This window comes from Homo sapiens, chromosome 16, assembly GCF_000001405.40.
Source record: "Homo sapiens chromosome 16, GRCh38.p14 Primary Assembly".
Lineage (NCBI taxonomy): Eukaryota > Metazoa > Chordata > Mammalia > Primates > Hominidae > Homo > Homo sapiens.
In genome coordinates this window covers 79,829,049-79,854,071 of record NC_000016.10, presented here as the reverse complement: position 1 = coordinate 79,854,071, position 25,023 = coordinate 79,829,049, and the positions used below count along the sequence as shown (strand labels likewise).

The 25,023-nt window shown below is 42.5% G+C and overlaps 1 annotated feature.

Annotated features, from left to right (window-relative positions):
* Window positions 8,667-8,786: an enhancer, noted in NCBI's record as "active region_11162". NCBI's record gives its function as "activates an Ori minimal core promoter by ATAC-STARR-seq in GM12878 lymphoblastoid cells {active_cell/tissue: GM12878}" and the evidence as "EXISTENCE:reporter gene assay evidence [ECO:0000049][PMID:35858748]".

The window sequence follows — 25,023 nt, the reverse complement described above, 5'->3', positions numbered from 1 at the left end:
CTCCCTAACTGATTTTATGAAGCCAGCCTCATCCTGATACCAAAACCAGGAGGAGACACAACAGAAAAAGAAAACTTTAGGCCAATATCCCTGATGAATAACAATGTGAAAATCCTCTATAAAATACTGGCAAACCAAATCCAGCAGCACATCAAAAAGCTCATTCACCATGATCAAGTCAACTTCATCCCTGGGATGCAAGGCTCGTTCAACATACGCAAATCAATAAACGTAATCCAGCACATAAACAGAACCAAAGACAAAAACCACATGATTATCTCAATACATGCAGAAAGGGCCTTTGATAAAATTCAACATCCCTTCATGTTAAAAACTCTTGATAAACTAGGTATTGATGGAACATATCTCAAAATAATAAAAGCTATTTATGACAAACACATAGCCAATATCATATTGAATGGGCAAAAGCTGGAAGCATTCCCTTTGAAAACCAGTACAAGGCAAGGATCCCCTCTCTCATTACTCCTATTCAACATAGTATTGGGGGTTCTGGCCAGTACAATGAGGCAAGAGAAAGAAATAAAGCGTATTCAAATAGGAAGAGAGGAAGTTAAGTTGTCTCTGTTTGCAGATGACATGATTTTATGTTTAGAAAACCCCATCATCTCAGCCCAAAAACTTCTTGGACTGATAAGCAACTTCAGCAAAGTCTCAGGATACAAAATCAGTGTGCAAAAATCACAAGCATTCCTTTACACCAACAATAGGCAAGCAGAGAGCCAAATCATGAATGAGCTCCCATTCACAATTGCTACAAAGAGAATAAAATACCTAGGAATACAGCTAAGAATGAATGTGAAGAACCTCTTCAAGGAGAACTACAAACCACCACCCAAGGAAATAAGAGAGGACACAAACAAATGGAGAAACATTCCATCCTAATGTATAGATAGAATCAGTGTTGTGAAAATGGCCATACTGCCCAAAGTAAAGATTCAATGCTGTTTCTATCAAACTACCATTGACATTCTTCACAGAATTAGAATAAACTATTTTAAATTTCATATGGAATCAAAGAAGACCCCGTATAGCCAAGAGAATCCTAAGCAAAAACGACAAAGCTGGAGGCATCATGCTACCTGACTTCTAACTATACCACAAGGCTACAGTAACCAAAACAGCATGGCACTGGTACCAAAACAGACATATAGACCAATGGAGCAGAACAGAGACCTCAGAAATAGCAACACACATCTACAACCATCTGATCTTTCACAAACCTGACAAAAATAAGCAATGGGGAAAGGATCTCTTATTAAGTAAATGGTGCTGGAAAACTGGCTAGCCATATGCAGAAAACTGAAACTGGACCCCTTCCTTATGCCTTGCATAAAAATTAAGATGAATTAAAGACTTAAATGTAAAACCCAAAACCATAAAAATGCTAGAACAAACCTAGGCAATACCATTCAGGACATAGGCATGGGCAAAGACTTCATGACAAAAATGCCAAAAGCAATTGCAAAAAAAAAAAAAGCAAAAAAATGACAAATGGGATCTAATTAAACTAAAAACCTTCTGCACAGCAAAAGAAACTGTCATCAGAGTGAAACAGGCAACCTACAAAATGGGAGAAAATTTTTGCCATCTACCCATCTGAGAAAGGTCTAACACCCAGAATTTACAAGTAACTTCAACATTATTTCCAAGAAAATAACAACCCCATCAAAAAGTGGGTAAAGGATATGAACAGACACTTCTCCAAAGAAGACATTTATGTGGCCAACAAACATGTGAAAAAAAACTCAACATCACTCATCATAGGAGAAATGCAAATCAAAACTACAATGAGATACCATCTCAAGCCAGTCAGAATGGTAATTATTAAAAAGTCAGGAAACAATAGATGCTGGTGAGGCTGTGGAGAAAGAGGAATGCTTTTACACTGTTGGTGGAAATGAAAATTAGTTTAACCATTGTGGAAGACAGTAAGGTGATTTCTCAAGGATATAGAAGCAGAAATACCATTTGACCCAAAACCAAAGGAATATAAATCAACTACTATAAAGACACATGTACACATATGATTATTGCAGCACTATTTACAACAGCAAAGACATGGAACCAACCCAAGTGCCTATCAATGATAGACTAGATAAAGAAAATGTGGTACATGTACACCATGGAATACTATGCAGCCATAAAATGGAATGAGATCATGTTCTTTGCAGGGACGTGGGTGAAACTGAAAACCATCATCCTTAGCAAACTAACATATGGAAAGAAAACCAAATACCACATGTTCTCATTCATAAGTGGGAGTTGAACAATGAGAACATGGAAACAGACAGGGATACAACACACACCGGAGCTTGTTGGGAGGTAGGGGATGAGGGGAGGGAACTTAGAGGACAGGTCAATAGGTGCAGCAAACCACCATGGCACATGGATAACTATGTAACAAACCTGCATGTTCTGCACATGTATCCCTTTTCTTTTTAGAAGAAATAAAACAAAAATCCACAAACTAAGATAAATATAATTTTTATATTATATCCAAATATACAAGTCGTTCTGACATATTAATAAATAAAAGACACACTAAACAATGGGAGGAGGAAGAGGGAGTAGTTCAATGACAAATGAAATTCAAAGAATAGAAAACCCAAACATTGGATAAAAATATTCCCACCATTTTCCTTGTTGTCTTACAATGCCTTCTAGGACTTAACACCAAACACTGAGGTCTGTCTCTAGACTCGCTGCTGTTTCTGTGGTCTACTGCTGGTCTCTGCGACTTCATCACAATGTTTTGATACTCTAAACCTGTGCTGTCTGGTGATGGGTCACCACATGGGTCACAATGACATGTAGCTATTTAAGTTCAATTAAAGTAAAAATTAACTTCCTCAGTCAGTCTAGCTATATTTCAAGTGCTCAGTAGCCACATGTGACCCAAGGCTACCATATTAGAGTAGCATAGCTAGAGACCATCTCCATGATTGTAGAAAGCTCTGTTGGACAGCACTGCTTAAATGTATAAGTCTTAGTATCATTATAATAGAGCAAGTCTCCTTTCTTTCTTTCTCCTCTTTAAAATTGCTTGGGCTCTTTACTTTTCCAAGTAAATTTTAGAATAAGTAATCAGGGAAATGTAAATTAAAACAACAATAATATTCCACTCTATGGCAAGAAAAATGAATGCATTACATGCATCCAAATAGAGAGACCTGAACATAATGTAAATGCGTGAGAAGAGCAAGTCGCAAAGTGTGTGTGTGTGTGTGTGTGTGTGTGTGTGTAGGTGTGTAGGTGTGTAGGTGTAATGCCATGAAATAATTTAGATGAAACTTAAAAACACACCAAATAGCCATTCTATTTATTTTTCATGGATCATAATAACAGTTAATAAATATTAAGCATTTATTTTTTTCCAGGCTCTGCTCCAGACACTTTAAATGTATCAACATTTGATGATTGCACATACAGTTGATTTACTATCCCCTTTTTTATTTGACTGAGACAGAGCAAAGTTAAGCAACTTCTTCCAGGTTACTCAGCTAGTTGTTACAGAGTTGGAGCTGAGAGCCAGGCTGGCTTCCAAGTCTGTGCTCATAAACACGGTGCCATCCTGGATTCAGACCAAACGACACCAAACATGGAAAGGGATGTTTCTAGACGTGGAGAAAATAAAATAGAAATGGTCTTTGGGGCTTTACCTTCTATATAATATATTTTAGAGAGAGAAAGAGAAGAGGATCAGGGAGAGAGAGAAAGAATGGGATATCCAGCTACTCGGGAGGCTGAGGCAGGAGAATGGCGTGAACCCAGGAGGCGGAGCTTGCAGTGAGCCGAGATCGCGCCACTGCACTCCAGCCTGAGTGACACAGTGAGACTCCGTGTCAAAAAAAAAAAAAGAAAAAAAAAAAAAAAGAATGGTACATCCACAGAAAAGACAGGGGAAAATGTTAACATCGGTCAGATCAGATTGGCCAGTATATGGGGGTCTATCACTTTTTGTTTGAGTAAAACATAAAATACTTTTTAAATTAACAAGTTAAAAAACAAAGGTTATATTAATGGGTGGCATAAGGCTTCCCAGACTTGCTTTTGATCTGTAGTTTGCTAACTAGACTTCTATGTTGCCAAGCGTCACCACTCTCGCTTTGCAGAGTGAGATGTGGAAGTTGAAGGGTTTTTGAGGGGCAGCTGAGAGGGACACAGAACCAGGTGAAAGGAGAGACTGCAGACGAGGTGGTTGGGGTACACCAAAGGGAGGAAGCAGCAGCTGTAGGAGGAGTGGGGTCAAGGATGTTTACAAGAGACTTCCAGAAACCCTGTGGGGTTTGATGTAACCCCCTCTTCCGTTTCCCCAGGAAAGCTTCAGTCAAAGCTACACCACTTTCCATTTCTTCAGCTGTCAGATACGGTTTTCTTTTGGCACGTGGAGAAAAGTTGAGACTTGCCTCAGAGGGACCATGGCCTGGACAGCTGACCAAGTGGGTGCAGTCGTGCTCAGGGTCTATATCCACATAAAGTGACTCTTCTGGGTACCTAGCAGGCCTCTAATGTGGCATCACTGCATCCCACGGAGGTCTCTTCTCACCCGAGGCTTTCTGTCATCTGATGAGCTAGGTGCTCAGGTTTCATGCCCATGTCACTGCGCTCCAGTGGCTGCCAGGTAGCCTCTCCGCCCCAGCATCACCACAGAGAGGCTCTTTGGCTGTCGCCCTGATGCCCGCTCACGTGTGGGGCTTCTTGCACAATTGCTGTCCTGGGAGCAGACAAGTGGGAGTGGCAAGGTGGGGCCCACACGGGCAGGTCTGGGGCAGCTCAACCGTGTGAATGGCAGACAGCCGCCAGGCCTCCAGGAGCTGGGGAGCTGGGCTGCTGCAGGACCAGCGGGAAGGTGGGAAGGCAGGATAAGTTGGTGGTGAAAGGGCCTTTGGAGGGAGGTCCACACTGCATCCTCTGCCTACTGTGAGCAAAGGACCCAGCCCCAGCCTGCTGATTTATGGCTTCTCTTCTGTGAGCTCATCAGTGATTTTGGAGCAGGTTCATAAGAAGCAAATGCCTTGTAAAGGCACAGTCTAGCTCTGGCTCTGCCACAGCCTCTCCTGGGAGCGAAAGGAGGTTTCCCATTCCTGGGGCGTGGTTGGCCTGCACTCCCCTGCACACCAACAGCAGGCCTCACGCCACTTTGCAGAAGCCGGAGACAGAGCTGTGTGGCTGGGCTTCAACATGTGCCAACACGCTATTTACAAGGCGAGAAGCTCTGGAGGAAAATGATAAAATGTTGTTTTTTAGGATATTTTGCAATTACATTAAGCCCTGTGAGCCTCAGTGAAGAATGCAGCACTGTGAAAGCTTCCAGACCTTACCAGACAGGGATTTGGGGCCAGCTGAGAGGTGATACCACCTGTCATCATTTGTTCTTTCTTCTGCCTGGGCTACCTGCTCCCGGACACCTCTGTACCCTAGCTCGAAGCTTTGTCTCATATTTCAGGATCCGCGCAATAGGCAGGATCAGCTAACCTATAGAACACAGCCTCTGGGTTAGACGAAACTCAGTGAGGACTTGTCTTAGTTCAGGTCCTTGGTCCTTACATTTTCTGAGCTTCAATCTATTCATCAGAATGGAAGCCCTCCCTGCTTTGACGAGTTTCTAAAACTGGAAATAAGAGTATTTTCATGTAATTAGCCTTCCTCATTAAATCTGTTAAGGACAATCAAGGACATTAGTTAATTTCCAGTTCTTATAGTAGTCCACATATTGTAGAGTCAACCATGAATTGTTCCTATCAGTTTGTTTTATTTAGTTATGATTAATGAAATTATCGTAGATAGGCACATGTGTTTTTAAAGTCACTTCTATCTCAAAAAATAAATATATAAAGAAAGAGATGAACTACACACACACACACACACACACACACACACACACACACACATCAAGTAGTACTGTGGGAAAATAAATAGGCTCTAGACAGACTGACCTGGGTCCTACTAGTCTTTCTAACATATCTTGACTTTGTGATCTTGGGCAAGTTGATTAACCTCTCTGAATCTGCTTTTGTTTATTCTGGAGACAGTATGCACAGTGATTAAGGGCTTTGACTCTGGAAGCAGATGATCTAGGTCTGAATCTCAGATCCATTACACACTCACTTATTTGTACCTCCGTTTTCCTGGTTGTAAAATGGAAGTGAGACTAGTACTTATCCCACAGAGATGCTGTGAGGACCAAATGAGCAAATGAAAACTCACATGATATAAAGGGCTTAAATGGTTGCCTAACACATAGTTATTAAATGACTGCAACATGGGAATAATAATGGAATCTACTTTAGAGGGTTGCGGTGAGGATGAGATGAGACAATGCACGTGAAGTACACAGCTCAGAGCCTGACACCCAGGTGCTGGTTACAACGGGAGCTGTTGCGGCTGTTATTTTTCCTTCAGGGAAGGAAGCAGAGAAGTTGGACTATGCACAGGTCACACTGCACACTCCTGTGGTGTACTGAGATCCATTCACAATTCTACATCACCAGGATCTAGGGATATAGGGGGGAGGGTGGACACAGAAGCGTGGGAGGAGAGGTGCTAGTGTCCCGGGAGAAGGGTCCAGAGAAGGCCAGGCTCTGACAGAGAGAGAAGCTGCAGAGGCCACAGACAGCAGCTACCTGGGAGGCTGTGCTTATGCTGCACCCAGTGCAGGACCATTTTGCTGATCTCCCTCCTGCTGCCAAATGTTCCAACCAGAGCTCTTTGATCCACTGCCAGGCCTCGGGCAATGGAGCCAAGGTGTGTCTGGATTCATGCAAGGCCCTCGGGTGAGGGACTGTCGATCCCGACAGCCATGCCAGCGCAGGGCCAAGAAAGAATGTCCTGGAAGGGTGGGGATGGGTTGGGCTTTCTGAACCCTCCCACCTCAGGAAGGCAAAAGACACAGATCACAGGCAGCAAGGGGCTGCCATTTCTGATGCTTATACCCTCCACGGTGGCTACAGGAGCCCGCACCAGCAGTGGGAGGAGCAACATTCCAGAAGCTGGTAATGATGCACCTGGGTGGGTCCCCATGACCAGCAAGTGCAAAGCTCCCATTGACAGGATGAGAAAGCAAAGGCCAGAAGAGGTCAGGGAATTTTCCCAAAGTCCACGTTAAGGGAGGGTAGACCTTTCAGTCACTTCATAGTTTCATTTCTCAACCTTGGCACTGCTGCTATTTGGGGCTACATAATTATTCGTGGTGGGGTCCGTCTCATGCATTGTAGGATATTGAGCAGCACCCCTGGCCTCGACCCACTAGATGCCAAAAACACTTGGCAAACAAAAATGGGGTGACAAACAAAAATGTCTCCATGCATGGCCCAGTGTCTCCTGGGTGCAAACTCAGGCCTCAGCTGAAAACAAGCCTCTTGGTGAATTGAATGCTACAGAAACATTAATTGAGGTCCAACTGCATCCCAGGGGTCTAGGCTAGCCACGCACATGCATTATCCTGTTTAACACTGACAACTATCTAGGGAATAAAATTTCTATTTTCATTTCTATCTATGCAGCTTCTCTCTGCACCGATGCAGAAACTGTGCCTGCCAGATAGTAATGATCCAGCCGAGGGCACCAGGCTACAATTTGCAGAACTGGACTGAAGAATGGCTGACATAGCCAGCTGCAGTGGCTCATGCTTGTAATCCCAACAGTTTAGGAGGCCAAAGCAGGAGGATCACTTGAAGTCATGAGTTCAAGACCAGCCTGAGCAACATGGCAAGACCCCATCTCTATAAAAAATACAATAATTAGCAGGGCATGGTCGCACATGTCTGTAGTCCCAGCTGCTTGGTAGGCTGAGGCGGATGGATCATTTCAGCCCAGGAGGCAAGACTGCAGTGAGCCATGAGTATGCCACTGCACTCCAGCCTGGGTGACAAAAGAAAAAAAAAATAGAATGGATGATATAAACTTTATTGTTTACTGTGGGGTTGCGGTGGGGGGAGGCGTTAGTTCGTTCTTCTTTCTCTCAATACCTTTACAAAGTCTCTGTTTCAAAAGAGAGCGCAGATTATGCCTGCTACCCCAAGTCCTGAGTCAGAATTCAAAGGCAAATATGGTAGGGTGATGAGGCAGAAAGGACTTAGGCAGCAGGAGAGCTGTGATTGGTGGAAGGGGCAGGCAGGAAGAGTTTGGGTTTGGAGACACTGGTTGCTGAGTCAGAACTCCAGCTCTGTCATTGCCTGTGTGACTTTGGGCAAGTTACATGTGATTGTTGGAGCTTCCATTTCATTTGCTAAATAATTGGGATCATAATACATACAACGTGGAGTTGTTAGGATGTCACGAGAGAATGCACAAGAAGTAAGTACTCCCGAATTGAGCTATTATCTACCTCAAAGGATTACTGGAGAAATAGAAAAGGGATATAAAGAAACACAGCAAAGATGCTTCATAAAAGGTAATTATTATTATTGTTATGAACACCCTTTGAAATTGGTTATTCATTTTCTGAAAGCCACTCAAAGATTCCGTTCGTATCGCAGAAGAATTGGATAAATGATTTCTTTGATAAACTAGCTTTTCACCTAGGGGATCTGGTTTGCTGATCCTACCCAGATTAGAATGACTGAAAATCAATTTGATTTGACAGCTGTGGAGAAAAGGAAATGCACGTACTAACTGTCAAGCAACGCAGCTCCTCGGTGCGGATACAAAGCAAGGCACGGAAAGGGTCCTGCTGTCTGGGATCTTGCTGCCTGGTCACCCATCACGGGTGACAAGATCCGACCTCCTTCCTGCTGCACTGATGCCCCATGGGCCAGCAAATGCCCACCAAAGGCCAGGCACTGAGGTTCTGGCCTGTTTCTCTGCTTCTGGGGCCTGGCCTTGGAGACTCACCCTAGACTTGCAAACTCTTTCAAAAGTGTTCTTTGTTCCTATGTAGCACCCATAGCAATCACTCAAAGACAGAAATGACTGGGGTCTGAGAGCTGCAGCTGCAAGAAAGAGGAAGGGAGATGAAAGGAAATCCCGCCACCTGCTCCTTGCCACAAGAATAGATGACTCGAGCCCCTGCTCCCTTTTGGCCTCCCCTCCACTGAACCCCCATTTCTGGATTCCCATATTCTTCCAGGTCTCAAATGCTCCAGGCATGTCCAACTGCCAAACTCCTGAAATGAAACATCCTCTGAAGTCACAAGGCATAGATTGGGCCACTGTAGTCCTCCTGTGACCCCAGGAAAGGCCCCTGGCCTCCTCAAGCCTCAGTTTCCATGTTTGTCAAGTGGGGAGAATAAAGCAGCACTAGCACTGCCTGCCTCATGGTTCTACTGTAAGAATCATGGGGCAGGTTGAAGGCAGAGGGACTTCCTCGGCTCAGTGTGCCTTCAAGTGGGAGCTGGGGAGTATTAGCCATGTTCCAGAGCACTGCAAATGCGCTCCTTTAAGAGTAGAGACGCTACCTGTGGACCTCATTTTCACTGTCATTTTTCCATGTGTTCTGATTTTGTCCTATTTGCCACAAGAGAGGGATGGGGTTCTCACTGCGTCAACTCCACAGAGGGCTGTTCTCCCTGAGTTTTTAGCATAAGTAACCCAGGACCCAAATGAGGAATTTGGGTGTTTAGAGGTCCTCTTATGGGTTTATTTTGAACTAGCTGCTAAGAATAATCATTAATCATCATGAAATAAGTAAATTGTGGGATGCCGCCCATGCAGCCTGCCATATGGAGTTGCCACTGTTAGAAGCAGGATCTTCTCACAGCAATATCTGCCCCTGGAGAAGGACATCTGCCATTTGCCTTTTTTGTTTGTTTGTTTTATTCCCTCCTCTCTCTCTCTTTTATCTTCATATACCATCAGTTTCTTTCCTAATCAATAAGCCTCATGGACCATCTACTATTATCTCAGTTTGAGCTATTTTGCTTATTTTTTTTTTAGTACAAACTACCTGGAATTCCTACATACTACTTAGCCTATATTTAAAGCCAGATCCTTCTAAACATGCCCTCCAAGTTTGAAGAATATCCGTTCAACCAGTTTTATTTACACAAAAAGAGAGGCTTGTTTAATTTATAGGGATATGTATTGTAACTATCTGTCTCCACCCTAGAAAAAATGCTGTCCTAGACAGCCCTGGACAAGTTGCTGAACTGTGTTCCAAGAAAGTGCTAGTTACTTGTCATTTATTGAGAATACCCTTTGTTTAAAGAAAACTGAAAGCATACCAGGCATTGTGGTAATATCTTGTTTAGTCATCAGCACCTCCTCCAACAGTTAGGTACTATTATGATTCCATTTTACAGGTGAGGAAAATGAGAGTAGAGAGGATGAGACAATGAGAGTAGGAGGGATGAGGCAGGTTTCTCAGAACCGCAAGCTCATAAGTAAGAGCCAGGGTGCAAATCAAGGCCTTCAATCCACTTTCCAGGAGGCCTGCTGATGAACTCACAATGCTCTCCTACAAAAGGCCTGTGGGCTAGGTGCTGGTATTGTCCTCATTTTACAGAGCAGGGGGTGAGCTCAGAGAACCTTGGGTGTGATGAGTTGAGTAAGGAGAGATGAAAGATGCTCTTGAACCTCAGCACACAGAGGTGGCCTCCAGGCTTCAAATGGATACTTTATATTTCTATTAGTAACGTTACCTGCTACTATATTATGCGAATTGACTGGATAGGTTTTCACTGAGTTTGGAAAGTAAGAGTGTGGGATGGTTTTACTTAAACTATAGGATGTGGTGTACATGTGAAATAGATCTTTGGGTTCTAACATCTTTGGTACATGTGAAATAGATCTTGGGGCCTCCAAGACATAATAACACCTAGGACCAACCACCCTCTCAGCAACTGAAGAACACTTTGTGTTTGATTATGCGTAAGATTGTTTAATCAATCGCTTTTTTCCCCTGTCACAATATTCCACCTTCACGAAGTGTCTTTCATCTTGGATCTCCAAAACAGGAGTAAAAGCTGTAATTAGTTGCAATGACTGTTGTGTTTTTAATAGTTACCTGCTGTAATGTCCATTTGACAGATGAAGGGGCTGAGGCTTTGGGTCAGAGTATGATATGCTAAATGTGGAGATCCAAGACAGAAGCTAGCCAAGTTCCTCCCACCCTGGAGAGCAGGGCTCCCGGGAGCCCTACAGGAAGCCTTGATATGTCACAGAACAAAAAGCACCATAGATGGTTTCAGCCTGTCTCCTCCTGCCTTGAGGCAGGGCTCAAGATTCTTTCTGGATTGAGAAAAATAGTTGACTTTCCACCGCATTTTAAAACAGGTATAATTTGTCCATTCCACTAAAAAATGAAAGGGGGTTTAAGATTTAAGATGCTACTGCCGCATGTACCAACCTCAATTTGCTCGTGATTCATGATAAATCCTAAATCACAACCAGCTTTTATTGAATTTGTGTGTGTGTGTGTGTGTGTGTGTGTGTGCAGGGAGAGGTAGAGTAGGTTGACGTTTGGGAAAAAAATGAAGAGAACTTTCTCCTACTTTCAACTCTAAAAGAGCAAGATCCTCAATGCAACCCTGTGAGTCAAACAAGAGACACAGGATTTGTCCAAAGTCATTACTGGTAAATGGCAGAGCCAGGATTCAAACCAAAGGGCTTCTTCTAAAACTACAGCAGTGTGTGCAAACGAAGAAGAGAGGGAACCCTGGCTGAATAGCCGTTTTGGGGGAAGTCAGGAAGTGGAAACTCGCACTTTGGGGAGAAAAAAAAGCACTCAGCAAAAAGAAACAAGGTGTCTTCTTTGGAGCAAACTAATAAAAATATTTTAAAAATCAGAAGGTTTGTCATGGGAGTAGATCTACGGTCGCTCGACCCGTCTTCAGTTCAACTCCTAGATATGTACTGTAGAAAAACTCTTATTCACATCTGTTGAAAAACATGTACAAGAATATCATATAGTTGTATTAAGTTGGTGCAAATATAATGGTGGTTTTTGCTGTTACTTTCAATGGCAAAAACCGCCATTATGTTTGGACCACGCTAATATTTGAAAACAAACAAATACACGAAAACCAGGCAACTAGAAATGGCCCCTATATCTAACAACAGGACAATGAATAAATGGAATAGAACAGTACCTAGCAGGGAAAATAAATGAACCACATACAGGTACATGCACCAACATGAATTAAACCTAGAAATCTAATGCAGAGAGGAAAAATTGAGTGATGCCAGATAATATAAGATATGGTGACATTTTTACCAAGTTAAAAACAAGCCACACACATACACCTACAGTTCAGTGATATCTACCTGAAAAATACAACTTTTAAGAAAAGCCAGAGAATGGTAAACATAAAGTTTAAGGTAGTTTAACTTGATGAGGAAAAGAGAAAGGACTTGGGAAAGAAGTTTCACCGATACTGGTTTATGGTTCTTGAGACATTGTTTTCCAAGTTGTTTATATACAGTTTCATGACTTACATGTAGATTACATATATAATTGTATATGTCTCAAAATACATATTTCAAGAGAGAAGTTTCCTAGACCAAATGGCCCAAAGGCAAACTGTTTTATTCAGTGAAAATCGGTAAACATGAACTCAAGAAAAGTACAAGGAATATGATATATTTGTGGGGAGTGTTGATGGGGGCCGGGGGAGCATGGGGAGTGGAGAAAAATGGGAAAAAAGCAGGAAAGCTTGGAGAATAATTGTGTGTGTGTGTTTGTGTGTGCGTGTGTCTTGATTTTATTGATTTTATTTCTCCTTTCTCCATAAGATACTCTCAGTTGCTGATGATCTCTTCTTACACCCTGTAAAATATTTGGTTAAGGACCCATGGAAAAAGGGAGAAAATATAGACCTACCCTCCCCAGGACAAAATGCTTGTCCACCGTCAGGCTGATAAATGCACAGGCTGGAGGGAGAACTAAACGTGGTGTCAAAAACCCCAGAGTCTCATTTCTACTCGAAAAGTGTGACCAGGTGGGGGTATTCATGCCTTCGAATAAATGGGGCATCTAGTGATAAAATGTATGTGAGATCAAGTTGTAAGCTGTAAAATGCTATGTTTATATAAAGGTCACGGTGACTTTCACTAGACCCAGGATCTTAAGTTGTGTGCTTCTGCAGATAAAGACCCTAGCCTTAATTTGCTGAGTCTATTTTCCATTTCGTACAAGTCCCATTTTGCTATGTTTAGAAATACCTTTTTAGCTTTGAAAATCAGAGTTTGAAAGAGATGGAAATAATCCTCCCCAAACATTATGACTGAAGCTGTATCACAAAATATTATAATGAAAAGTGAAAAGAAAACTGTCTGGATATCACACAGATCTACTAGTGAATATCATAAAACACTTATGTTTGAATCGTAGGCTTCATGTGATTTTGAATTTTTATGTCAATTAGACAACCAGTAAAGAACACTTTAATAATTAATAATAATAGCAATAATAGCAGTATTGTTTGGTAATGCCAAGAATGTACCACACACACACACTGAGAAACTCCCAATATGACACCCTATTTATTTTCAAAGCTATATTTTGAGGTCATTATCAAGACCCATTTGCCAGTGGGGATTGGCAAACCCACAAAGTTAAATCAACTTGCCCAAGAACACTCAGCAATTAGAAAGTGGCTAAGCTGAGATTTCAACCTCAGTATGTCTGCAGATAAAGCCACTCACATTATAGCCAGGTCCTGATACGTAATTTCCAAAGATGTAACAGCCAGGAGAATGTGTCAGCCAAGCTGAGAATAACCCTATTTTATGAAGGACTTCAATGTATTTAACACATTCAACTACTCAGAGCAATGGATAAGCATTTGGGAGCAGCCAGCCTTCAGCTCCAGCTCTAAGAAGGGAGGGTCACAAAGCCCGGGGTGGAAGGAAAAAGCGAATCCATCCCGATTCCAATTGCCAAGCCACACAGCTCCGTCCAGAAACCCAGAGCTGCTACTATTGGCACAGGGTGTTCAAAAGCTGATGAGGCCTTAAAGGGAGTGGATCTCACATTCTTGCATCCATTGCCTTCCCTCAGCAAGTCCTGTGTGCTCCCTTTGAACTTATTTCCAGGTCTGGTGCTAAGGGACATGCACCGGCGCCCCTCCAAACCAGGCTTGGGCTAAGGTGCTGACCACAGCGCTTTGTGTTGGGTCCACAGCACACAGCCGTGGAAGCTGGGACTTCTAATAGGCACCTCATTGATGGGGAAGCTGTAATAGAGAGAAGAGGTTGCCAAGGTCAAGCAGCACGCAGGAGGCCGGACAAGGAGTGGGAGGGCGTCCGTCTGCTCTGAAGCTCATGATCTTTATAATACCACAAGCAATCCCTAAAAGGCAAGGGTTCTAAACTGGGGGAAACTGGGTTCTCAACCCAGGGAGTTTTGGTCATCATAACTCAGGTGGGCAGTGCTCCTGATGTCTAGTTTGTAGAGGCCAGAGATGCTGCTCCACATCCTTCAACACATAGGTCAGCCCCTGGCCCCAGCACACACACATACCACAAAGAACTATCCTCCCCCAAATGTCAAGAGTGCCAAGGTTGAGAAACCCTGGCTAAGTTGCTGTTAAAGAAACAGAAATGGGAGAGAGTAAAGTCCACCCTAGGAAAGGGGCCTAGTAATAGCAACTCGCCTGCATTCTAAGGACCCAGGCACTGGCCAAACCGACCCTTAGTAAATCTCTGTCATCATCTATGCAGGATTGTTTGAAATGCCCAGAGACAGCCGAGAATACCATTCCCCACCTTAAATCTCTTTCACAAGAGGTCTACAGCTTTGAAGAACTGCCAAAGATAGGGAGGTAGAGGCTGGGGGGCAAAGACGGGAGTGGAAGGGATTATTTATTATTATTATTACTATTTTCTGGATACCCAGAGCAACTAGGGACAGAGCAACACTGAGAGCACCAGGTTGAATCTCTAGGGAAACACTCTGCTTCCCCAGAATCACATCTCAGTGTCCAAAGGGAGCAGGGAAATGTGTCTGTGAAGGGTTAAGTATGTATCTTCTCTTGCTGGCGTGTCTCCCGGGCTAAATGAAGGCTGTTTCATCTCACATGGATATGAAAGACAAAGTGTGCAGATTGAAAACATCTGTACACCGAGTGAATGGACCACATGTCCACGGTGCCATGCCGGGGTTTAGCTAGATCAGTGCCCTTTTTGTTTGACTTTGGAAGAGCAACACAAATAAATACAGTAGGTTCCATTTAAACAAAGAACTCTGATCAATAGAGGTTTGTATAGCTTACGACCTTCAACCGTATGCAGAAATTTGAGGTAAAAATCCACAAATCCCAGATCAATTACCAGATTATTTACCCTCTTCCACCGCTAATGTTCCAATCTGCCTTGCATATTAAATAGCCAGGGAGGAAAAGGATTTATATTGCAGAGAAGAGGGAAGGCTGCATGGATTTATTAGCCGTGGTAATCAAAGCGTGTGCCATACGTTTTCTATATAAACACGGCCGGGGTGATTGTGCAAATCGGCTAAAATGAATTTTCAATTCCAAGACTTTTCAGGCAATGTTACCAGTAGCTTTAATAATCTTTTTCTATTTTTTGAAGGGGCGTTAACCATCTGCCACTAAACTGTTGCTGCATTTGGTTTGCCGTAAACGAAAGTACGTGTTTTGCGGGGCTCTTGGATGGGGGCACCAGGAGATAGCGGCTTCACTCCTTCTTATTCTCCTTGGTAGCCGTGAATCTTTGAGAAAACCCCTGCCCTGTGTTGCTCTGGGCTCAGTTTCCTGGGTATAAACTTGGGCTTTTACCCCCAGCACTTTGTCTGGGGTTACACACTGGCAGTGTTGCTGGGGCAAGTTGTATCATCTTTTGAAGCCTCTGTTTTCTCATCTGTGAAACAGAAAAAAAAAAGCAGCACTGTTTACCTGCTGGAATTGTGATTAGAAGTAAGTAAGATGCAACATATAAATGCATAGCTCACATCGGGACTACAGGAAGCGCCGCTCCACGGGCAGGAGCTACCGTTGTTCTTCTCATCACCATTATTATCAGTGTCCCTTCTCCTCTGAGGTCCTGAATTTCAGCATATTCATGATGATTTGGAACGGGCCCTCTGAGCCTAGGGCTTAGGGGAGCAGCTGGAATGAAGGAATGGAGAACTATTAGGGAGAGGAGTATGTAGTGCCACTAGAGAGGGAGAGAGAGGGAGAATTTTTTTTATCAAGTCATCCTGAAGACCCCAGCAAGGAAAGGCCATGGGAGCCTTCAGACCACTCCACATCCACTCCAACCTACCCATAGAGACCTTCTGGCTTGGATATTTGTTCATTGGTACCTATAGATCTACTCCCTGCAAAGAAATAGCTTGGGCGCTCCACCCATGACAACCTTCTATGGGATGCCGGTATCAGCGAACACAATTTCCACCCCACCCACTACACTGTAAGTCCCTCTGAGGGGTGGGGACCATGGTCATCTCATTCACATCTAATCTCTAGTCCTTAGCCCCATGAAGGATTCATAGTACATCTCAGTTTACATTTGTCAGACAAATGTGTTCTCTGGGATGCCCAGGAATGTCTCCTTTCTCTATCCTGGATTGTAGACTCCAACTTTCTCCTCTTATTCTCAGACTTCCTCATCACTCCCCTACTCTGGCCTCCCAAGCCAATCATGGAGAAAATGCTAGGATTTACCCTATTCTCTGTTTCTCTTCCATACAGCCATAATCATAGGAATGACAGAGGAAGCAATCTGTGCCTAGCCGTATTGAGAGCTTGACATATATAGACTCATAAATTCACATAGCAACACCATTTTTTTCCACATTTTACAAATAGAGGGAGTGAGTGTTAAGGAGATTATTCATAGGCTGCAAAGAGGCTGATAGGAATCCACATGAGGTGTGCTTGACTCAACTCTTAGGCCGGTGGCTCTCAAGCTTGGACAGCATCAGAATCATTTGGAGGGCTTGCTAGAACACAGTTTCCTGGGCCCTCTTTCAGAATTCCTGATTCAGTGGGTCTAGGGTAAGGCCTGACAGTGTACATTTCTAACAAGTTGGGTGGCGATGCTGCTGCTGCCCAGGGATGACTCTTTGAGAAACACTAAAGCCATCGTCCAATGGGAGACAAGTTCAATCACTGACTGTTTTTGCTTTTTTCTTCTTGCATTTTGAAAGAACCAAGTTATTTTCCAATCGTGTTCTACAATTCATCCTCAAGTATGACACTAAAAGTGAAATTCTTATTAACCAAGTGTTGTGATCTTCTCTAGAATCAAGGACAGGATAGTGAAGAAATTTCTTCTAACTTAACTAAGAGGTCTAATTATAGCAGAGGTTAGCCAACCTTTAAAAGAAATGAAGAAATAAATAGCAGAGGTTAGCCAAACTTTAAAAGAAATGCAGTTTCTTGAGTTGTAATTATTCTACATATTATAAAATGTGGAAAGTTATGGGTTGGGGGAAGGAGGACTAGAGGCTTGCATTCCTTAGTAATGAACTACAGAAGTAGTAAAAGCCCAAGTTAGAGTATTTTTTCCAATCTTTTACTCAATAAATATCCTGTCTCCAAAGTATCACAAATTCCAAATTAGCAGCGTGTGGATTCATGAAATCCATTCATTTCTCCATTCATGCATCCCACAAACATTTATTGAAGCCTCTATTCCATGCCAGGCATCTGCTGGGTGCCTGGCCAGGGGAGAGACACAGAGAGTAGGCAGTTCTGGGATGCTGATGTTAAGAGAAATAATATACAGCCCCTATCCTCCAAGAGCTCACAGGACTGTGGAAGATAAGAGTCATAAAGCAGATGTATGAGACTGCGCGTGTGAGTGGAAAGTTGGATAAGGGGCTTCCAGACAAAGGAAATTGTGTATATTTATGGAAGCTCTAGTGGACTGTGTTGGTGCTGCATCCAAATCCTCTGTTCCAGGCCATTCCATTCATCCCCCAGTTGCTGTGCTGACTGCTAAGGGCTCCATGTTACCTCTTCTTGGCCAGCTAGAGCCACTTGCCAAGGAGGTCACAGCACCCCCCTGCCCAGAATGTAGCCTGTTGACTGACTGTTTAACACAGGACTACTTCGGGGTAAGAGTCCTCTCCCAGCTGGACCAATTATTTGATGCAATTCTTACTCCAGAGCTTTTGCTAAGATTGAGCTAGAACTAGACTACAGCAGAGGCCACATCCTTGCTTAGCTCCTGCCCTGACCTCTTCTTCTTAGTAGCTTTTTTCCTACTGAACGCACATCGTCAATAAATCATGTACCTCAACCTAGCTCAGTCTCTGCTTCCACCAAGGAGGTGTAGTGGCTAACTGCATAGCCTCTGGAGCCACATACCTGCTTTTGTCATCCCGGGTCTGACACTTGCTAGTTGTAGGATTCCAGGTAAGTTACTCATCCTTGACTAGAGTTACCAATAGGAACCCAATAGAAACGATGCGTACATTTACCAATAGGTACCTCAGGCGGATCCCCCAATCCCCATCTTTTCTTTGCTCCATCCCTTTTAAAGAGCACCATTGTGTCTATGAACGTGTGTGTACACACATGTACACACACACATATGCACACAAACCAGCCAAAATAAGAAACAACAGGATCAACCAAGTGGCTTGAGGACCCGCAACATGGATGCCCTCTCCCTAAAGACTTAAAAGTTAGACTCTGCAGTGCATCCTGAATCTGATCTAGGGTTTTGTAACTCTCTGAAATGTTCTTTCTGGCATTCGAACAATGTATTCTCGGATAGGCCTGTAAGACCCATCTGTGTCAGTTTAAATGCTTTTAGAAATAAGTCATAAAAACAGCCGGGCGTGGTGGCTCCTGCCTGTAATTCCAGCACTTTGGGAGGCTGAGGCGAGCAGATCATGAGCTCAGGAGATTGAGGCCATCCTGGCTAACACAGTGAAACCCCATCTCCACTAAAAAAAAAAAAAATACAAAAAATTAGCCAGGTATGGTGGTGGGCGCCTGTAGTCCCAGCTAAGCGGGAGGCTGAGACAGGAGAATGGCGTGAACCTGCAAGGCGTAGCTTGCAGTGAGCAGAGATGCACCACTGCACTCCAGGCTGGGCAACAGAGCGAGACTCCATCTCAAAAAAAAAAAAAACAACAAAACAATAATTAGTAAAAACAAACTAGCTTAGCTTAAGCAATAGGATAACACATTTTTTGGTATCACACATATTGTTCAGAACTAGGGCAGATTCCAGGGCTAGTTGATTCAGTGGTCAATGATGTCAGCAACGCCTTGGACTTTTCTTCCATTTTTCTACTCTGTTATCACCAGTGTTGGCATGCATTACCCATATGACGTGACAATGAGGAGAACTGAACTTCTGTGTTCCCACTTGCAAGCTCCAGTCCTTTCATCTTTATGACCTATCCTAGGTCATGTGTCCACCCTGAACCAGTAACAATTCGCAAGAAAATGCCATGCACTGCTCAGATTAAACAAATCAAGACTTGCCCCTAGAGCTGGGGATGGACAGGAGGCAATACAGCAGCTTGACCAAGGAGCCAGAACACTGGCACTCAAATCATGCCTGTGACACTTACCAGTTTTATGGCTTTGTACATATCATTGATTTATCTGTTCCTTGGTTTCCTTATCTGTATAATAGATATAGCAAGATGCCAACTTTGCAGGGTTGTTCTCGGGATTAAATGAGTTAATAGATGCCGGGTACTCTGAACAGTACTTGTCCATGTGCACGGCATGCACAAATGTTAGGTGTCATGCTATTGTGTTGTGTCTGAACAAAAATGGGTGCTGACCCAGCAGTCCCATTACTGGGCATATACCCAAAGGGTTATAAATAATTCTACTATAAAGACACAAGCACACATATGTTTATTGCAGCATTATTTACAATAGCAAAGACTTGGAACCAACCCAAATGCCCATCAATTATAGCCTGGATAAAGAAAATGTGGCACATATGCACCATGAAATACTATGCAGCCATAAAAAAGAATGAGTTTATGTCCTTGGCAGAGACATGGATGAAGCTGGAAACCATCATCCTCAGCAAAATAACACAGGAACAGAAAACCAAACACCACATGTTCTCACTCATAAATAGGAGTTGAATAATGAGAACACATGGACACAGGGATGGGAATATCACACACTGGGGCCTATTGGGAGGTGGGGGGCAAGGGGAGGGACAGTATTAGGACAAATATCTAATGCATGTGGGGCTTAAAATCTAGACGATGGGTTGATAGGTGCAGCAAACCACCATGGCACATGTACACCTATGTAACAAACCTGAACGTTCAGCACATGTATCCCAGAATTTAAAGTAATATAATAATAATAATAAAAACCCTGGGTGCCAATAGGAAAGACAGGACAGCACGTGTTAGCTAGGTGACTGACAGTGTCTGCTGTGTTATCTCCTGTTCAGCTCAGCATTCTGAGTCACAACATCCTGACCATGTGGATAAGGTTTAAAAACCACTTTGTTTCTGAGATGGTTCTTGGTATTCAAATTACCTCCAAGCATTTGGAAATTGTAGCTTTTAGCCCTATTCTCAGTAACATTATCTCTCACCTGAGCTCCACCTGTAGCCCATCATTACGTTTCTCTTGAATTTGCGTGGGGGTGTCAGCTCCAGGAGACGCTACCTCATAACAGGGGGGCTGGGACCCACCCGTCTGCTTGTCTTTCAGGGCTGTGCCACCATGAAGAGGTTGTACTGGGCAGGCCCAGTTTGGTTTCAGAATCTATGAGAAGACAGACTAAGCTAATCATATGGTGCTATGGCAGTCCCTGAAGACAGAAACCCTTTCACTCTGGAGCTGTGGAGGCAGGAGTAAGCATCAGGCTGCCCCGGAAGAATGTTAGAGACAAGAAAAATCAGGACTGATTAATCATGGAGATAAAAGTATCAAGAGATGGTGGAAGTACCTCCTGGTGAGGCTGTTTGTAATGCCCAGTTTAGTTCACTGTCCACAGCAATCCTCAAGCTGGGGAACTGTGCATGGGGACACTGGAATGGGTTTCAGATGGTTGCTCAATTCCTTGCTAATATGCTTGTGTGTGTGTGCCTAGGTCTCTGGACTTTGCTAGTGGAAAGGGCTTCGGCTGCCAAGGGACTCTCAAATTTGGGATGTCCAAAAGAGGTTGAAATCTACCGTACTGGAGTGATCTCCCCACATCAGGAAATTAACCACCTCACTTCTGTGTTCATTTGTAGATGACTTCTCACCTTCAACAGGGGTATGTTAGCAAGCTACATCTCTCAGGTCCAATAATCCACCAACCGGAAGTCAAGGAAGCTCATCACTAGGCACCAACATGGGTCTATGTTTTGCATAAGGGTGAATATTAGTGAGACACCTGATTTATGTAGCCACCCAGGGTCCCATTTCTCAGGATTCCACCCACAAGTCACATGGAATAGCTACTCAGGTGTGGTGTGGCTATCAGAGTCCCTTACCAGTTCACACCCAGATAAATACAGAGATGGATAGTGCATATTTAGGAAATTTATTCGTAATTTGGCACAGTAATTTTATATCTACCTAATCTAATAGTTTTTAAATGGGGCTTGTATTTTGCATGTCTTGTATGTTTCATTTCTTCTAATTATTTTGGTTGTGTTTTATAAAATTATTATTAGTCTAAAATGCATATGAAATTTTTTTTTAAAAAACTATTTTTTATATAGTTTGGGAAGGATTAACCCAAGGAATCTTCACCAGTTTCCTGCAGTGAGCTAAGGGCACAACACAGCTCTGTTCTGGGACCTCTGGTCCCACTCCCACATCTTTTGGGCCGCTGTATGGGGGACAGGGGATAGATGAGCCTGAAGCAGAAACGCAAATGTGAACTTTCTTTAAAGGCTCCTGTTAACTTGAAAAGTCATAGAACTTGCACCACATTCCAAAATATATCAACTTTTGTTTTAATATAAAACCGAGTCTTTTTTTCCTTTATTTTCCTTCAAGACGTCAAACAAAATTTTAACTCCAAGGAGATGCACAAAGAGTTGTTAGTTGGTTAGCTAGTTAGTTAATTAGTTAATTAGTTTCATCCTGTGGTTTTATATGCCTTCAGAAACACCACCATACCCTCCTGGGGAATGGCAGTATTTGTTATTTTGTGAAGCAGCTTTGCAGAAGATATACAACAGTATTTAGGTCTCAATTTCAGATTTAAAAGTAACTTATATTCTTATAATATAGCAGTCAGTGTAGCCTTAATACATAAGAGCAAACCTTTATATAGCATTTATTATGTGCTAGGGAATATTATAGGCACCTCTTCTACATCAGCTCGTATAATCCTGAAAGCGCTCCTTTGAGACAGGTGCTATTAATATTATTGCCATTTTATAGGTGCAATACTGATGCACAGGGATGCTAACTCTCTTGCTCAAGGTCGCACAGCTAGTAAGTAGGTGGTAGAGCTCAGATTTCCACTCACGCAGCCTGGGTCCGGTTCTTGCTTAGACACTGGACTGAACTTCTCGTAGCCTTCCAAAAGGGGCAATCTCACAGGCTGTGTCAACTCAGTAAACTACTAGCTGCATGAAGATAATGCATTTGACCGAGGACCAAAGACTTATAGGGAAGTTACAGTTACACAGAGTTCTACGCTAGACTCTGCTTGGATTAAATTGATTGGGTTCTGAAAAAGCAAAATAACTTTTAATGCACATTTTGCTCCATATTCTGCTACCTAAATGATAGTCTCAAGTTGAGTTGAAGAGGAGAACAATTGTGTTTGGGGCTGTCCGGTTCAAGGCACCCTGGCTAGAGCAATTTACTGGAAAATTTGGGGCAATTTTATAGCCACAAGTAGACCCCATCATTTCCACTAAATTTTTTGGCCATGCCTTATTTAGTCATGGGTGTGAAGATTCAGCCTTTGTGAATTATCCACACGCCAACCCACATCAGCATTTGATTTGGTGTTTCAAGCATCCCATTTGGTTTTGAAATTAGTAGAAGAGGATGCTATTTAGGGGACATGTGAAAAAATATATAATCTGTCTTGTGTTTATGAAAAAAAAATTGCTGTGTTCTGATTAACTACACGTGACCCTGAGATATATCCCTGTGAAAATGACCTCCATTTGCAGCCTGATTTTGATTTGCAGGCTGTGGAATTAAATTCCACCTCATTGGTTTTATGTTTCTCTCACCGTTTGTCCATTCATTCACCAAATATTTATTGAGCACCAACTATAGCCAGACCCGATGCTAGGTGCTTGTGTGGAAGAAGAGGAGGAGACTATTCAGTGATGAATAAGACATGGTCTCTGCCCTTGCGAAGTTCATGGTTTTGTTAGAAAGACAGATATATACCCGTATAATGATAGTGCAGGGTATGTTCAAATCCCAGGCCAACACCTATCACAGATCCCAAATTAATTCATTGTTTAATAGCTTGGTTACTTTGGTCAAGGAAAATACCAGTTTACACTACCTGCAAATTAGTAACTGAACTAGTATTTATTATTTACCTACCTTGAAAATGAAAATAGTCGACTGAATGCCTATAAGGCTGACTTCACGATGTTGAGTACAAGTGGTGACATTTGTCTACTTGATATACTCATGTCAGAAACAAAGCCAACAAGCAAAGACCAGGAAGTATTTCTCTAATGCACCTGCATTTATCCCAGTCTTTGTTACTCCATTTGCTCCCGTCTTCACAAAACACTTCTATATCTATAACAGAATTGCCTTGTGGCAACAATCTCTGAAGATAGGCATTCTCATCTAGGGAGAAGTTAAGTGACTTGCCTAAGGCCACCCAGCTAATTCATGGTAGAAGAGAGCCCTTGAAGCAAGTCTTCTTATTCCAAGAACTGTGTCTTTTCTGGTTCATCGTGCCACCCTAATTATTTACTGAACACCTATTGTACATTCAGTATTAGACTCACTGTATGATTCGACGGCGTAATTTTAATATCCAGATGCTGGGTCTTCTAGGTCTCCTGGCCAGTTGTTTTATGAATGTAGGTTAACAGGCTATTCTATACCCAAGACAGGAATGGCCTTTTACATTACCACTCGTGAAGAACTCATTAAGGAAAAGTAGAAGCTTCCAGAGCTAGCTCTCTGTAGTGCACTCAGAGAGGTACCTTGCCTTCCCAGCCTCACAACTTTAAGTTTTCCTTCATTTATAAACCCATATGATTCTCTGGAGCCATTGGGGATGGTCAAACAAGACAAAACAAAACAAAGAAACACAAACTATTTTTTTCCCTTTTTTTGTTATTGGTTTTGACTTAAATGGAAAACTCAACTCAGCTTTTTGAAAGTCAAAGTGGCCTTTGTGTTTGGAAATTAACTTTTACATCCCCCAGGGGGTAGTTATTACTCACTGGATACTTTTAAATTTAAATGTGATCAATTAATTGATGGTAAAAATTATATTATGTAAATGCAAATTCAGAATTGAGTTTCGTGTTCACAGTGGCCTGAAAACATTTTAAAAGGTCAGGTTAGGCCTGAGGAAATTGGAAGTTTTAGTTCCTGCTATTAAAAAAGAGAAAAAAAGAACAAAAGAAAGAAAAAATGAGTTGGCAACAAACTCAGTAATGAAGACCGGAATTTTTTTTTCTTTTCTTTTTGACAATGTTATCACAATCTAACTGTACCATAGAAACTTCAATGTAAAGGAATCAGGCGAGCTTTTGATCAATGCTTTTTGTTAGAAATCCTACTCTACAAGCCTTATCAAGCTTATAAAGCTCATAAACACTGGAACCCCAAACAACTTGAGAAGATAGAAAGACAAAACCTGAGAGAGAAAAAAAAATAGAAAAGAATGGTGATAAAATGAAATTGAAGAGGGTTACACAAAAGACTCTGGAGCCATTAATTTTTATAGCTGATGCAGCTACTAATATTTTATGAGGTTTGGAAATATCAGTATAAAAAGCACCCTAATATCTGCCCTTGTTCTCTTTCTGTTGTTGTTTTTTTACAAAGATAAGCCCATCGTATTTGTACCTTGAACACGGCCTTATTACAGTTAAATATGGTAGAAAATGTTGTCTCATTGGAATCTTTCCAAGTCAATGTTTTCGTTTTTGTTTAGTTTGATTTTCCACCTTTTCCAACACAAATTCATCGACTCCTTTATGTGCCATTTCTTTCCCTT